This window comes from Homo sapiens, chromosome 7, assembly GCF_000001405.40.
Source record: "Homo sapiens chromosome 7, GRCh38.p14 Primary Assembly".
NCBI lineage: Eukaryota > Metazoa > Chordata > Mammalia > Primates > Hominidae > Homo > Homo sapiens.
This window is the reverse complement of record NC_000007.14, coordinates 17,240,515-17,258,341: the sequence shown is the minus strand read 5'-3', so window position 1 is coordinate 17,258,341 and position 17,827 is coordinate 17,240,515. Positions and strand designations below refer to the sequence as shown.

General features: G+C 35.1%; 1 long non-coding RNA gene across 2 annotated transcripts in view; it reads left to right on the top strand.

The window, feature by feature from the left end:
- The window catches only part of LOC101927609 (uncharacterized), a 164,409-nt gene that overhangs the window by 40,979 nt on the left and 105,603 nt on the right, over positions 1-17,827 (top strand). The gene's annotated exons all lie outside the window — the stretch shown is intronic.

The following is a 17,827-nucleotide window of genomic DNA, read 5'->3' as shown; positions in this document are numbered from 1 at the left end:
CCAAGCTTAAAGAAAATTCCCACTATTACAGCATTTTTCTTCATTGAGGTGAAATTCACATACAATTAATCATTTTAAAGTATACAATTCAATGGCATCAGTATATTCACAATGTTGTGCAACCACTACCCGTCTTTCTCAAAAAAAAAAGAAAACTCCATAAAATTAGAAACAAGCGAAGAAAAACTACACACACACACACACACCCAACTTTGGACCTGGGAATACTATGTCTAGGAATTTCTTCTAAAAAAAAGAACCAGATAAGTATGTGAATAAAGGTATAAAAGGAAAAAAAAAACTGTTACAGCATTTAAGAAGACAGACCAAAATTATCTGAATAATCATATACTCATACAATTTAAACTCTTATTATTGTTTTGTTTCTCCCAGTATTAATTGTTCTATGCTAGAGAACGTACAAATGTTATTTATCAGAAACTGTCTAAATTAGTTTGTAGTTTCAGGACTCTATACCTTCCAATTGTTTCAACCAATTCAATCAAAATTCAATTTTCAGTTTTTAATAACTTTTTTAGACAGTATTTCCATAAAGTTTAGGTTACCAGATGCACATTAAAATTCTTATCCATGGCATACTGGTACAATGGAATATTATTCAGCCTCAAAAAGAAAGGAAATTCTGACATATGGCTACAACATGGATGAAACTTGAGGATGATATGCTAAGTGAAATAAGACAGCCACAAAAGGAAAAATATTGTCTGATTCCACTTATATGAAGTACCTAGACTAGTCAAATTCATGAGACAGATGTCTCAGCATCCTCTGATAATGCTGTTGGCCATTCTCCCTTCCTTGAATGCTTTCCTCCCTAGCCTTAATACCATGCCCTGTTTTTGTCCTCTATTTTCCCTTCTCTTCAGGGACTTCCCTTCTACTATCCCATAAACATTGGTGTGCCCAGGGCTTTTCTTCCTCATATGTCCTTATTTTTCCACATACATAGCTGCATCTAGCACCAATATCCTTTGACACAAACCTGCATCTTTAGCCCAGATTTCTCTCCTAAACCATGACATGCACAAGTTCAGTGCTTCCTGGACATCTCTCCTTGAAAGTCCCACAAACACCTCACATTCAAACACTGAATCTGAACTACTCTTCTCTTTTCCCACGTCATCTTTTCTACCTTATAGTTTAAGTCAGGAATTAGAAGTTATTATAAATGAGCTAAAAATGAGAAAGTCCATAGAAGTTACTCATACCTGACAAAATAATTTTTTATGAGCATGCATTGTTATTGTCATTAACAAACCAAAAATATTCTTAGCAAACTCATATTTCTCAGCTCTCAATTTCACATGCAGATAAAATAAGACCTTAAAATTTCATTTGACATTCTGTCTGCAAGTTCCAGATTAGGATAATTGATTTATATGGTTTTCTAAGTACTAACCATTTTGCATTTCAATGAGACTCTGATAAGAAATAATTTGATCAATATGGTCTATGCATGATCTTTGTCTATCTGTGTGTTGACAGTAAACTGAGGGCATGGTTGAGTGCTGACACATAGACATTGGTAGAGATTTTAAATATAAATTAGCCCCAGGAAAATGTTTTTATGCCTGAATTTTAAATAGCAGAGTTTTATGTTTGGAAGGTATTTTGCTTAATAGAAGCAGCACCAAATATATTCAGGAGAAATGGTGACTCTTGACTATGCTGACAGTGTTGAACATTTATCATGACTACCTTGTTTTATATGACTTTTTTTCTCCATACATTAGGCAATGTTTACAAGGAGGTGAACAGCGCACCAGCAGATGTTTTGACTTGTAGAAAGCATGACTTGATTCTATAAGGTCTTGAGTAAAAGTTTTAAATGATGAGTTGAACTTTGGCCTGTGAAACATGCATGAATTGTTCGGAATCTTGGTCCTAAATGTCTTATTGCCAGCCTGGGTTGGCACTGCAAAGGTATGGTCAGATTTATAAACAACTCAAGACAGATCATTGGCAAATCAATGTTAAGATTTCATATTATTATATTTTCATTTTATTTTGCATTTGTGTTTCGAAAGTTGCCTTTAGTCTTTGAACTTATCTGCTCTGGTTATGAACAGTGGATATGTTCAGCATGAAATGTTGAAAAAGTTCTCACCAAACAAGTGCAGCAGTTTTATTCAGAATTTGCTGAAGGGCATAACACTGTAAAACAGAAAATGAACCACTCATTTGCTGTCATCAAAAATGAGGAAATGGCTCTAGGCAGTAGCCAAAGAGTTCTTTTGAAATTGAGAAGTTCACTGATTTGGCAGTGAGGAGGATCTTGTTTGTCTTGCTTGTTCTAAAAAACTATTTATCCTCAAATAATTCCAGTAAGATACAAGGAGAAAATCATCAATCTCATTTTTTCCAAATATCTCCTTATGTCATTATTATGTTTAATATAACTTCCAAAATATGGCCTTGGATTTTTATAGAGATCTTGATATATGCTGTATCTTTCCACTTAAAATAGATTATCCTTTAACCTAATACTGCAAATAAGAAAAATATATAATAATTTCATAATAAAATCAAACTGAGAAAAATCAATGCCTTGTTACAGAATGCTAACTAGGCTATCGAGGAACAAAAATTAGCATTTTAATATTTTTATTACACTGAGATATTTATGTAATGTAAGTCTTTATGCTAATGTGCTTTGTAATTTGATAACCTATTGATCATCTCTATCCCCACCTAGTTCAAGTCATCATTATCTCTTACTCTGGCAATTTCAATAGCACCATAATTGATCTGTCTGCCACCCTAAGATCTGATCTTTACCCAGACCAGAGCAATTATTTTTAAAACACATTTCAGATCATGAATCTGTTCTTTAAAACTGCGAGTGGTTTTGCATCTCACTCACTCACTCTTTAAATGGACTACACTGTGAGACCTGACCCGTGGCCACCACACTGCCACAGCTACCCTCCTAATGCTGCTTTAGCTGCTCTCATTTCCTTGCTGTTCTGTGAACCCCTCAGATCCAGAATCCCCTCAGGGTCTTAGTCCTTATTCTACCCTCTTCTGGAACATCTAGATAGCCATATCTTCTGTCACGTTTTTGCCAAGATAAATATCACTTTCTTGGTGCCCCTTCCAGGACCAGTGCATCTAAAATAGCAACTCTCTCTTTCTCCCAACCGTCTTCATTCTCCATCCCTCCATTCTGCTTTTTCCTTCACAGGAATTCTTACCCCTGATGTTCCCTATACTTATTTGTGTGTTTTTTATTTGTTTTGGTTTTGGTCCATTTCTCTCCAGTAGAAAGTAAGATATGTGAGTACAGGGACTTTGCTTTTTACTCTTCTATCGCAGTACCTAAAATACTTCCTGGCCCATAGTAGGCGCTCAATATATATTTCTGAGATGAATAAATACAAGAATGAGAATGAAGCTAAAATTATCTGTAGAAGAACCGGTTTCTACTAAAATTAATCTTATCAAGTTAATATATATCTCTGATACTTCATTAGTAACGTCAATTTTGATCAGTCAATTCCTAGTTTTCCATTTACTTTCAGATATGAGTAGATTGCCAGAGAAAAGAAGGTAGCAAGGCACAACTGAACATATTTATGAGCATAAGAATTCTATTAGATTTGCAGTTTTTCATTATTTTTTCAGTATCATTATATGAATTTTGGCAAATGTATAGGTTCATATAAAATAGGATACAGAAAAGTTCTGCCACCCCAAAAATCCTTCTCATGCTATCCCCTTAGAGTCATGTTTCTCCCTTCTTCCTTCCCTGAAAACCATTGATCTGTTCTCCATCACCCTATTTTATAATTGAGAATGTCATATAATATAATCATATATTATGTAAACTTTTGAACTGGCTTTTTCCACTCAGTATAATGCCTTGAGAGTTAACCATGTTGTTGAATGTCCATTCCTTTTTATTGGTGAATAGTATTCCATTGTATGTGTGAACAACTGTTTGTCCATTCACCCAGTGAAGGACATATTGGCTGATTCCAGTTTTGGCAATTATAAAAACAGTTCCTATAAATATTCATATACATGTTTTCATGTGACTATAAGTTTTCAGTTCTTGAGGGTAAATACTATGAGTGAGATTGCTGAGTCGTATGGCAATGCACGTTTAACTTGGCAAGAAACTTACAAATTATTTTCCAAAGTGGCAGCATCACTTTGCACTCACACCAGCAATGTATGGGCTGCTCCACATCCTCACCAGCACTTGATATAGTCAGCAATTTTTATTTTTTTATTTGACATAATCAGCAATTTTTATTTTAGCCATTTTAATATGTGGTGATAAGTTATCTTGGTTTTAATTTATATTTCCTCAATGGCTAATTCATATGAACTTCAATTCATATCTTCCACCATACATGAAAATTAACTCTAAATAGATCATAGACCTAAATGTTAAATTGAAAATTGTAAAACTTCTTGAAGACAACACGGGAGAAAATCTTTGTGATCTTGGGTTAGGCAGAGGTTTATTAGTTGTAGCACCAAAAACATACTCCATAAAATAAAAATATAATAAATAGGACTTCCTAAAACTTAAAAAGTCTACACTTCTAAAGACACTATTAAAAGAATGAAAAGACAAGAAGTGGGGAAGAAGAAGGGAAACCAGCAAAAGAACCCAAATGAGCGAAGAGTGTGATAGGAGAAACCAAGGAGAATGTGGCGTCTTGGGAGCCAGCTAAAGAAATAGTGTCAAGGAGGAAGGAGTAATCCACAGGGTCATAGCTTCAGTTGAGGAGTAATTCTTTTATTTTGAATCAGGGAATAAATAGAGACGAATGTCTCCAGGTGCTGCCAGCTCTGGTCACAGTTGTCTTCCTAGTCATAACTCAGCCATTCCATCAAGGTAGGAGCTACTGTACCAGTTTGGCCCTCCATCTGGTGAAATAAACTTAAACTTGGTGCCATTGGCTTCATATGTGGTATATGGGGGATTGAATTTAGGCTTCTATGCACTTAAATTTCAGTCACTATTATACCTCCATTCATTCATCCATCCATTCATTCATTCATTCATTCATTATTTATTGAGGGCCTTCTCTGGGCCCAACATTGAGCATACACTAGTGATTTAAAACAGGCCTAGTATCTGAGTGAATATGGAACGTAGGGAATGGAGACTATGACAAACATTAATCAAATAGTCACACTGGGTGAAACAATTATGGTTCTCTCTACTGCATAATAACAATGAAAAGTTCATTACTGCTCCTCTAGTCATAATATTATGGAGACTGTATCTGGAATTAATCTGTTGTCATCAATGTCATGTTTTTATCAATTAGCACCTCATACTGTGAATGTGATCTGAGTGTGAATAGACTGTGTTTTAATATATCTTTCTAACTCAGATTTCTTTAAATATCATTTCACAAATTGAAGTTGCCATCCACCTTAATTCCATTCTCAGACCCCAAATATATCTTCCCTTTGTATTTGATTCTCATTTAGAATAAATAAGCCAAATGTAAATGTAAAGACCAGCAAAAATATTAATTACTAATAACTGGGATGAATCAGAAACATATGTGGAATTTGTGTAATACAAATGTGTACAGGTTTTGCCAGCACTGGGAAACTGCCTGATAGACTGGATTAAGAAAATGTGGCACATATACACCATGGAATACTATGCAGCCATAAAAAAGGATAAGTTCGTGTACTTTGCAGGGACATGGATGAAGCTGGAAACCATCATTCTCAGCAAACTATCACAAGTGCAGAAAACCAAACACTGCATGTTCTCACTGATAGGTGGGAATTGAACAATGAGATCACTTGGACACAGGGCAGGGAACATCACACACTGGGGCCTGTTGGGGGGTGGGGGACTGGGGGAGGGATAGCATTAGGAGAAATACCTAATGTAAATGATGAGTTGATGGGTGCAGCAAACCAACATAGCATACATATACCTAGGTATCAAACCTGCACGTTGTGCACATGTACCCTAGACCTTTAAGTATATATATAAAAAAGGTACTACAAAAATAAAAAAAACATTGGCAATAGAGATGGAAAATAAAGATGCTTCAGAACAAAAATAAGTGTATTTGTGGTACATTCTATTTCTGCAAATGTGTCTCCATATAGACACATATTTATTGCTAGAAATGGCATGTTTTTGCTATGATCATTTTTCACAGAGAAAGACTATAACAGTTAAAAGCACAGATTCTGAAGCTAAAATGCTTGGGCTCCCAGTTTGTCTACCTATCAATTGTGTTAACTTGAGCAAATTATTTAATCTCTCTGTGCCTCGGTTTTTCTATTTGTATAGAATACACTTTTGTGCTTACTTTAAAGGTTATTATGAAGTTTAAATGTTAATATACATAGTATATATGTGTGTGTGTGTGTGTGTGTGTGTGTGTGAGAGAGAGAGTGTGTTTGTGTGTACATGAATGAGCACTCCTAGGCTCTAGGCTCTGGAGTTAGATAATTTGAGTGAATCCTGATGTCACTATTACTATCTGTATGACCTTGGGTACTCTAATTAACCTCTCTATGCCAATTTGCAAAACAGGACTCATAATGATAGTATTCATTCCTCCTAGAATGGCCATGAAATAGCACATGTAGAGCAATTAGCACATACAATGAATATTAGCTCCCATTTTATGACTGGTAGTGATGTGTTTCCAAGTATATAGATGAAATTTAGATATTTTTCTTGTGACCATGTAAATGGAATGTAATCATTATTTACTTTGTATTCAAAAGATGAAATGAGAAAAAGAATAAAAGAGAGGGGGCAGGAAGGAAAAATACACAGGAAGGAAACATGTAATAACATAAGTTTGCCTAATTCTAGCAATTCTAGGTGAATTTGGCAATTCAGATAATTTCCCGGAGATAATACCTTAAATTCAATAAGAACATAGAACATGCATGTTGACTGACTTTTAAGGTTACCAGAGTAAGTGAATGGCTTGTCATTAATTGATTTTCTATCGCTTAATCAAATTAGGGGATAAACTAGTCTTTGCTATACATAAAATTAATTTATCATTGAAGAGATACTAAATACATCAGCACTTTGGATCAGGTGGCCATGGGTAATAAATGCATACCAACAAGATATCTAGATAATTGAGCTGGATTAGTGAGCTGATAGCCATAAGTATGTAGGTAGAAAAAATATATACCTTTTTTATGCTCTAGAATGAGTTTGTAAGATAAATGTATTGAGCCGAGAAGCCAATGCAGCTTATAAACTAGCTGGCAAGCAGCCATAGCCAAAGAGCAAAGACCAGGACCATTGAGCATTTACAGGACTGGGTTACAAGTAGCTGCAGGCTTGGTCAGGCATGGTGGCTCACACCTGTAGTCCCAGCACTTTGGGAGGCCAAGGCAGGAAGGCCACTTTAAGCCAGGAGTTTGAGACCAGTCTGGGCAATAAGGGAAGACCCCCATGTCTACTAAAAAATTATTTTAATTAGCTGGGTGTGGTGGCGTGCACCTGTAGTCCCAGCTACTCACTTGGGAAACTGAGGTGGGAGGATCACTTGAGCCTGGGAGGTTAAGGCTGTAGTGAGCTATGACTGTGCCACTGCACTCCAGTCTGGACAATACAGCAAGACCCTGTGTCTAGACAAACAAACAACAGCCAAGTAGCTATAGGCTCTGTGTTTAATAACCATAAGAATCAAAATACAATCTACTGTGTAAAGAACATGGAAAGGTATAAAACTAGGCACATAGACCAATGGAAGAGAATAGAGAACCCAGAAATAAAGCCAAATACTTACAGCCAACTGATCTTCGACAAAGCAAAAAAAAAAAAAAAAAAAGTAAAGTGGGGAAAGGACACCCGATTCAAATGTTCAAATGGTGTGGATTAATTGGCAAGCCATATGTAGAAGAAAGAAACTGGATCCTTATCTCTCACTTTATACAAAAATCAACTCAAGGTGGATCAAAGACTTAAATCTAAGACCTGAAACCATAAAGATTCTAGAAGATAACATCGAAAAACTCTTCTAGACAATTGGCTTAGGCAAAGAGTTCATGACCAAGAACCCAAAAGCAAACACAACAAAAACAAAGATAAATGGATGGGACTTAATTAAACTAAAAAGCTTCTGCATGGCAAAAGAAATAATCAGCAAAGTAAACAGACAACCCACAGAGTGGGAGAGAATTTTCACAAACTATGCATTAGACAAAGGATTAATATTCAGAATCTACAAGGAACTCAAACCAATTAACAAGAAAAAAACAATCCCATAAAGAAGTGGGCTAACGACATGAATAGACAATTCTCAAAAGAAGTTCCACAGCAACCTTTCTCCTCAAAACAAGGTGAATTTCACCATTATAAGAGGATGTGATTGTGCTTACGATAGTTTGCTTTCACACTAAAAATTAACCTGGAGATAAAAAAAGATCATGTTCTTTGACTTTGATGGCAGAGACTGTATTTTGATTTTTGTCTTCATTTTCATGACTATAATTTAAGGGAGGTAAATGTTTTACACAAGTAGAAATTAAAAACCTCTTTCACTTAATACAAATTCATCATATTTACTAATTAAAAATCAAAGACAAGGCTTTCTGTTTCTCTTTAAAAGAATAAAGGTAGATACAAGTATACAATTTTTAATAAAAACCTCAGAGTTTTTCCTTCGATTTGTTAATATTTTATTAACAAGGTTTTATTATTTGGCAGTTGATTGCTATTAGTTCTAAGATTTACTCTTAAAACGAAAGGTTTTTTTTTTCTTTTTTTTTTTTTTGAGATGGAGTCTCGCTCTGTTGCCCAGGCTAGAGTGCAGTGGAGTGATCTCGGCTCACTGCAACCTCCGACTCCCAGGTTCAAGCGATTCTCCTGCCTCAGCCTCTCCAGTAGCTGGGACTACAGGCCCTTGCCACCATGCCCAGCTAATGTTTTTTGTATTTTTAGTAGAGACAAGGTTTCACCATGTTGGCCAGGATGGTCTCGATCTCTTGCCCTCGTGATCTGCCCACCTCGGCCTCCCAAAGTGCTGGGATTACAGGCATGAGCCACCACACCCGGCCAAAATGAAAGGTTTTTTTTTTTTTTATAATAACCAATAAAACTTACAAATTAGATCTGATATGTACACTTAATTTGTATATGCTAACACACAACCATTTAGGCAAGGGTTAAGTAGTGAGTTGAGCAACTTTCTAGTAAAAATCAGTAAATACAGTCACAATCTGTCTCCACCACTTAGGACCCCAAAAGTTCTTTACAGGTATCATGAATTATTTGCAAAATATTATTTCTTTAAGGACAATGTCACATCAGCAACTCCTGGGTCACAGGTACTTGACCAATTACTGAATAATGTACAAGAATTGATGAGTTCTAAGTGGGAAACAGACCAATATAGCTTTATGGCTAAGGTTAAAAAGTGAGTATTCAATTCAAATAAAATATTAAGGTTTCTGGACCTTCACAAACTTTTGAACTCCCCATGGCTTGCCAAATTTAGTTAAATTTTAATTGAAATGTAAATATTATTCATCTTAGAACAAAAAAGAAAATTAATCGAAATGTTTTAAAGCAGGCAGAAAGTATTCTGTGTAATGTTTTGTTAGATACACATTGATAGGGAACAAATACTGCTCTGCCTGATAACTTCATATATCCCCAGTACTTTACTTGCTAGTGGTATCATACAGTGGTCTAACAGGTAATTCTTAAAACTTGGTGGTGAAAAGGTCATGGTGTTAACAAGATTAAATTCATAACCAATCATCTTTAGAAATGTGAATGAAAAGGAGAAACGGAAAGTCTGTACACTGCAAAAATAGAGTTTCTAGCTCCCTAAAACCCTTTGAGCTGAAAGGTGACAATCAAAACATAAAAGAAAAATAAAATGTCTGCAAAATTGGGTTTTGTGTGAAACATTTACCTTAGTTAAATTAGCAGAATTCTGTATTAAGTTGGTGTAAGAAAGGATATGAGTGTGCATGAATGTTTTTGTTAGAAGCAGCATAATTTGCCAGAGATTATGAGTTCCACAGTTGAACTTCACACCATCTGACCAATTCTTCCTTTCCCAGACACTGAGAAATATCTTTTTCAGTCCAATAGACATCCTTACCAATTTAGGGCTTAATGTTTGACCAAGGCTACAAGGGGGAACTGTTAATATTTTTTAAAAAAATTACAATGGATTGGACCTTGAGTATAATTAGAAGCAGCCTTTTTTCTAGAGCCTAGAAATAAAAATATTAATAATGTGAGCCTGCTTGTTGAGTTCCAGTCTCAACTGATTATTGTTGTTCTCCTTCTCAAGGGAGTGTTAAGTCTTTTTGGAAGACTAGAGGACATTACATGGATAATATTTTCTCCAGGTCACACGTTAAGGATCCATGTTTATAGGATTGAAATATTGTGCACTATTCAATCTCTAGTCACCCAGTATGATCTCTGTAGTCTACATGGCTTTTCTATTTTCAGAGAATAAACATTTCATCTCCACTGAGTATCCAAGGAATACAAAGGATAATAAGGCTATATAGCAAATTAAATAAGTAAAGAAAATGTAAATTTTTATGTTAGCAAAGATTGCAAAAAGTATGTTTAGAATAGATTCAAAATAAGACCATTACATACTGTGTAGAAAATAACTTTTTCTTCTGCTCTTACACCACAGCAATCAACACAGCAAACTTCTTTTACCCAATGTGTGGAGATTTCTCCCAACCAACAAGCAAGCAATCAGTTCTGTAGTGGACACCAGCTGGGCGTCTTCTAATCCAATTCAATTCTTATGTCATCTTCCAGGAGATAGTGTCAGTTCCCACAAGACTGCCCCGCGTCAGACACCAGTCGCAAGTCCAGGCCTCTGAACTTCTGATCTACCAGCTTCCGGTTGGGGTTCCCACAACCCCCTCTTTAAGCGTAGTCAATTTGCTAGAGCAGCTCACAAAACTCAGGGAAACACATTTATCCATTTATTATAAAAGATATTTTAAAGGATATAAATAAAAAGCCAGATAAAGAAATTCATAGTGCGAGGTTTGAAAAGGTACCAAGTGCAGGAGCTTCCATTCGCATGGAGTTAGGGTGCTCCCACCCTACTGTAGATGAGTCTTGTTCACTTTCCTGTAAGTCTCTTTGTGTTCAGCTGTCCAAGCTCTCTGTACCCCATCCTCTTTGGGCGTCTTATGGAGATTTCACTGAATGGGCACGATTGAAGACTGAGCAACCATGTAGAAATGTGATGGAACAAAAGGGATACAGCTGATGCTAATAGACTCAGAGGGGAAACCCAGAAAGGCCTCTCTGTTCAGTCTTCTTGGTCTCACTGTGTAGCATCCCTTCCAGGTATGGGCAGGACCTCTTCTGAAATGAGGGTCTTATGACCTACAATCAGACAAGGTAGGTCAGAGAATTTCTTTATGGCCAGCTCTAAGACAGAAAGGTTGGGGGAAATTAGAGTAGATTTTAGTTTCTGCGGCTTGTCTTGGGGAGAAAAAGGAGAAGGTGAAAGGAGGGAGTGAGAGGGTCAGAGAGAGATATTCTGTTTTCTGAGGCCTGTTTCTGAGGCCTAAAGTGCCCCAACATTACAACAAGATACTATCTTTTACCGTTATTGCTCTGAAACTATTCTGAAGCTGCTTCAGGAACCAAGAACAAAGGCCAAATACTTTAATAAAATATATGCTCATTGTTTAATCAGTTAGGAAAAAACAAGGGCTATGGGAATTATAAGCCAGGAACTGTGGATGAAAGCTTATATCTATCTGTATCTATATATCTATCTGTATATATATATCATAATACATTTCTCAAAACCTGTGATATGTAGCCAAAGGAATACTTAGGAAATTTTGTCATCTTAAATGCATTTATTAAAAACTTAGGGCTGTGTGCGGTGGTTCACGCCTGTAATCGCAGCACTTTGGGAGGCTGAGGTGGGTGGATCACGAGATCAGGAGTCCAAGACCAGCCTGGCCGTCTCTACTAAAATACAAAAATTAGCCGGGCGTGATGGCGGGCGCCTGTAATCCCAGCTACTCAAGAGGCTGAGGCAGAGAATTGCTTGAACCCGGGAGGCAAAGTCTGCAGTGAGCTGAGATCGCGCCACTGCACTGTAGTCTGGGTAACAGAGCGAGACTCTGTCTCAAAAAAAGAAAAAAAAAAAACTTAGGTTAAAAACAAAAGAACTAAGCAATCATTCTAACAATCTAAAAAAAAGAACAAAAATAAATCCAAGAAAGGAATGAAGAAAGGTAAATATAACAATTAATGAATAAATGAAACTATTCATTGAAATAATTTGGAAAAAATGAATTCATTAATAGGTCATATAAAATAAATCAACCTTTGAAAATTAGGATTAAGACAAAATAAAGTATGGATCTTAAAAATTAATAAATAAGAGGAATATCTCTATATATTTCAAAACTACTAAAATTGGCAAAAGAAGAACTGAAAAACCTAAATAATGAAAAAGTAGTAACAGACACAGAGGTATATATTTTATTTTCTAACTGGCTGTTATTGATGTGAATAAAAGCCACAGTTTATTATATGTTGAGCCTATATTTGGCTAATTTGATTAAACTTCCAAAAGAACAGGAAAATCTAAATAGAGAAAAAATAATAGACATTGAAGTGGTCATAAAGTAATGATTTTCCCTACCTCTCAGCCCCCACTAAGGTTCCAGACTCAGATTTTTTTATGAGCAAGTATTTTTTTGTTGTTATTGTTTTGGTGTGAGACAGTGTCTCACTCCGTCACCCAGGATGGAGAGTGCAGTGGCACAATCAGAGCTCCCTGCAGCCTCGGCCTCCCAGGCTCAAGGAATCCTCCCACCTCCGCCTTTCAAGTAGCTGGGACCATAGGCATGCGCCACCATGCCTGGCTAATTTTTGTATATTTTTTGTAAAGATGGGGTTTTGCCATGTTGCCCAGGCTGGTCTCCAACTCCTGGGCTCAATCCCAAAGTGCTGGGATTACAGGCATAAGCCACTGCATAAAAGTTTCTATCTTAAACAGGATTACTATGGATACAAAATGTATAATAAAATGGTAACACATTGAAAACAGCAATTAAAAATAATAGCATAATGAAGTATGGATTTATCTTGGGAACATAAAGATGGCTCAACATTAGAAATCTTTTTATGGAATTCACTACATTAATATATTTAGGGAGGGAAATCCAATCATCTCACTTGATTTCGGAAAAGCATTCTGAAGGAAATATGTTTATAATAATTAAAAAACTTTTGTAAAATAAAGAAATATAAGGTAACTTCTTTGTCTTCATAAAAGAATCTACCGAGAATAAGCACTATCCTTAATAGTGAGATATTAGAAGCAGGCCCATTGTTGACTAGAAGACAACTGTTTAACTTTTAACTCAAGGTCCCTGCTAATGTAATAAAATAAGGAAAACATTTCAAATATTGGAAAGGGAGTTACAACATTTTCACAATTTGCAGATAAGAATTTACCTGATAACCCCAAAGTGACAAATTTTAAAGCCAGTAAGAAAGTTTAATCAAAATAGCTAAGTATATGCTCAACATAAAATAAACTATAGCTTTTATTCACAACAATAGGAGTCAGTTAGAAAATAAAATAAGAACAAGAGGTTTATTTATAATCATCATATCAAATACTTAGGAACAATCCTGACAAGACTTTACTGAAGGGCATAAAAGAAAACCTAAATAAGTGAGGAAAACAATTTTGTTCGTGAATGGGAAGTTTCAATACTTTTAAGATGTCTGTTCTCAGACACTTCTCAAAAGAAGACATTTATGCAGCCAAAAAACACATGAAAAAATGCTCACCATCACTGGCCATCAGAGAAATGCAAATCAAAACCACAATGAGATACCATCTCACACCAGTTAGAATGGCGATCATTAAAAAGTCAGGAAACAACAGGTGCTGGAGAGGACGTGGAGAAATAGTAACACTTTTACACTGTTGGTGGGACTGTAAAGTAGTTCAACCATTGTGGAAGTCAGTGTGGCGATTCCTCAGGGATCTAGAACTAGAAATACCATTTGACCCAGCCATCCCATTACTGGGTATATACCCAAAGGATTATAAATCATGCTGCTATAAAGACACATGCACACGTATGTTTATTGCGGCATTATTCACAATAGCAAAGACTTGGAACCAACCCAAATGTCCAACAATGATAGACTGGATTAAGAAAATGTGGCACATATACACCATGGAATACTATGCGGCCGTAAAAAATGATGAGTTCATGTCCTTTGTAGGGACATGGATGAAACTGGAAATCATCATTCTCAGTAAACTATCACAAGGACAAAAAACCAAACACCGCCTGTTCTCACTCATAGGTGGGAATTGAACAATGAGAACACATGGACACAGGAAGGGGAACATCACACTCTGGGGACTGTTGTCGGGTGGGGGGAGGGGGGATGGATAGCATTAGGAGATATACCTAATGTTAAATGACGAGTTAATGGGTGCAGCACACCAGCATGGCACATGTATACATATGTAACTAACCTGCACATTGTGCACATGTACCCTAAAACTTAAAGTATAATAATAATAAAATTTAAAAAAAAGATGTCTGTTCTCTACAAAATAGTCTATGAACTTAGTACAGTACTAACACGAACTAAGAGGATGTGTTATGGAAATGTAAAACTTATTCTAAAATCCATAAAGAAGAGAGAATATGTAAAAATAATAAAAATAAATCTATAGGAGAAAACTAAAAATATGCCTAATATGTATCAAACATGTTATAGAATTATACTAATCAAAATAATGTAGTGCTGGGACAGGAATTGAAAACTAGATCAAAGGAGTGGGCTAGGAATCTAAGAATGAACTAAAATATATATGATTATTTACTCAATGATAAAAGTGGCATTTTAAATGGGTAAAGTATATTACTTAATGTAAGTTCTTGGAAGAATTATCTACTTATTTAGAAATACATAGTTCTTATTCATAAAAACAAATTTCAGATAGTTATCATCTAAGCATAAATATAATGCCATAAAAGTATTATACTATATTGCAATGTCTTTTTGATGTTAAGTTTAAGAAGGTATTTTAATTAAAAAAATAGAAAGACACAGAATAATAAATTAAGCAGTTCAAGTTCATCAAAATTTAAAACTCATGATAGTAAAACATAACAAAATTTTTTAAACCAGTAGAAGAAAATTTTACAACATATATAATAGACAAAGGATTAGTAGCCAGAATACACGTGACCTTCCAGAGAGAAATAAAAATACACATACAATGAGATAAAAAAAAGCAAAGAAAATAAAACAGCCATTTACAAAAGAGTAAATATAATTGACCAATAAACGTATTCAAAGATGTCCAGCATCACTTGTTTTCAACTGTTTAAATTAGAAAAAAATAAAAGACTTAACAAAATCGAGTTTATTCTAAAGTATTGGAAAATGGGTACTCTCATAATCAACTGACGCGAACTAAAATGGTACAACCATTTTGAAATTAATTTTGTAGAATATTTATTAAAATACAAATATTCATAACTTATGGCCCAGAATTTCTAATTTGCATTATTTTTGCTTAGAGCTACTTGCTTAGGTGCAAAAAGAGGCATGTACAAGCTTGTTCATTGCACCGTCTTATTTCTAACAGCCAAGAACTGGAAGAGAATTAAATGTCTATGTATAGAGAGATTGCTAGATGATGCAATATAGGATATAATGCAGCAGTTAAAAGAAAGAAGGCACTGTTAAGGAAAAACAATTAGATTTCTGGTCTCACGGTAAGTGTATTATTATACCATTTATATAAAAGAGGAACACAAAACAACACTATATATTTTCATTGTTAACTATTGATTGTTACAAATTCATAGAACAAAAAGTGTAGAAGTATCCACATTAACCTGGTAGCAATTATTGGCTCTGTGAAGGGGGATTGGAATTTAGGATTATTGTCAAAGGTACGGTGGCCTTGTTTGTAATATTTAAATTTTAAATAAGAAGGATGTATAAAAATAGATAAATTATAGGTAGGTAGTGAGGAAAATGAGCATTATGGGGAAAAGTTGGTCAATCTCTTTTACAATTTCCACAAAGGAAATGACAAATATGAAAAAGATAACATGTTGTTAGAAGTAAAACAGCGCCTGATTTGACCGCTATAGAAAAGAACTTGTTTTACCAGTTCAGCTGAATCCCACAAAATGAAGTTTTAATTTATTACATATTTTAGTAAAACGAAATGTTTCTAAAATATTTCAAAGGATAAATTATTTTCACTTAGAAATAGTTAAATGAAACAAGCACAATGTAGATTGTAAATCTAAATGTTTAAACCATGCTATTTCTACATTATTCCCTGAGTCAAACTATTCTGACATTCTGCTTTGTAATTTATTATTTATTTATTTATGAGACGGTGTCTCTTGCTCTGTCACCTAGGCTGGAGTGCAATGGCATGATCTCAGCTCACTGTAACCTCCGCCTCCCAGGTTCAGGCAATTCTCCTGACTCAGCCTACCGAGTAGCTGGGATTACAGGTGCCCGCCACCACGCCCGGCTAATTTTTGCTTTTTTTATTTTTATTTTTTCACTAGAAATGGGGTTTTGCCATGTTGGCCAGGCTGGTCTCAAACTCCTAACCTTAGGTGATCCTCCTGCCTCAGCCTCCCAAAGTGCTGGGATTACAGGTGTGAGCCACCATGCCTGACCTCTTCTGCGTAGTTTAAATGCATAATGTTAACCCATGGTTCATATTGTTTCAAGTGTATTAGTATCCAAATAAGTTCTAGGAATTTCTCTACTTGAAAATAGTCAAAGTTGGCCATGCGGGATTCAAAAGCCGTATTAACCAAGGTCACTGGAATGGTCCTAAGAAAACAATGTTTCTGAAAAATAAACACATAGACCAACCTTGTGTGCCTTTTTTTAACTACGTGCTCATGTGTGTGTGTGTGTGCGTGTGCGTGTGTGTGTGTGTGTGTGTGTGTGTGTGTGTGTGTGTTTTAGCTGTGGTTAATAATTTTTTGCAAGTCTTATTTTGGTCTCCCTACCTCCTAAGAAGATAGAAATAAAGAGAAATAGGAAAATAAAAAGTGACTCTGACTGATACCTTAAATTTTATTAAAAGTAACGCCAGTAAATATTTTTTAAAAGATCGTTAATGCTGCTGGGTTTAGTGAGAAGAGCAATTTGACAATACAGGTCAAGAAACTTAACAAATCTACAAATGATTGATCATACTGGATCTGTATCTTAGGATTTTAATCTAAAAAACCAATAGTGACTAGAAAAAGATAAATATTCTAGGATGTTCATTATAGTATCATTTATAACATTGAAAGCCAACTGAAAGTTCGGCAATAGGGTACTTTTTATTAAACAAACTATGATATATCTGGATGATAGATTATTAGTCATTCAATAAGGTGTTTTTGGGGATTAATTTATGACATGGAGAGATGCTTATGTTTAATGAAAAAGATACAGAATTGTTATTTACAATAATGAATGCACACCCACACTAATAGATAAATATATAGAATATATATGTACATATATATGCATATATATACTTGGATTATATATTATATACTATATATAATTTTGAAGATATATATATACACACACATACATACATACTTGGAAGAAATAATTTCCAAGTGATTCCTGAGATAAAATCAATGTACTTTAATTTCCCCTAGCCTATGTTCATCATTCAGTCTAATCAGTTCTTTGACACTAGGAGCTGCAAAAGGGAAAAGTCTCATTATTGTGTAAAATGAAAAAATGAGAGAACAGTTAAGAGTGGTCTAATCATCTCTACCTCTAATTTCCCAT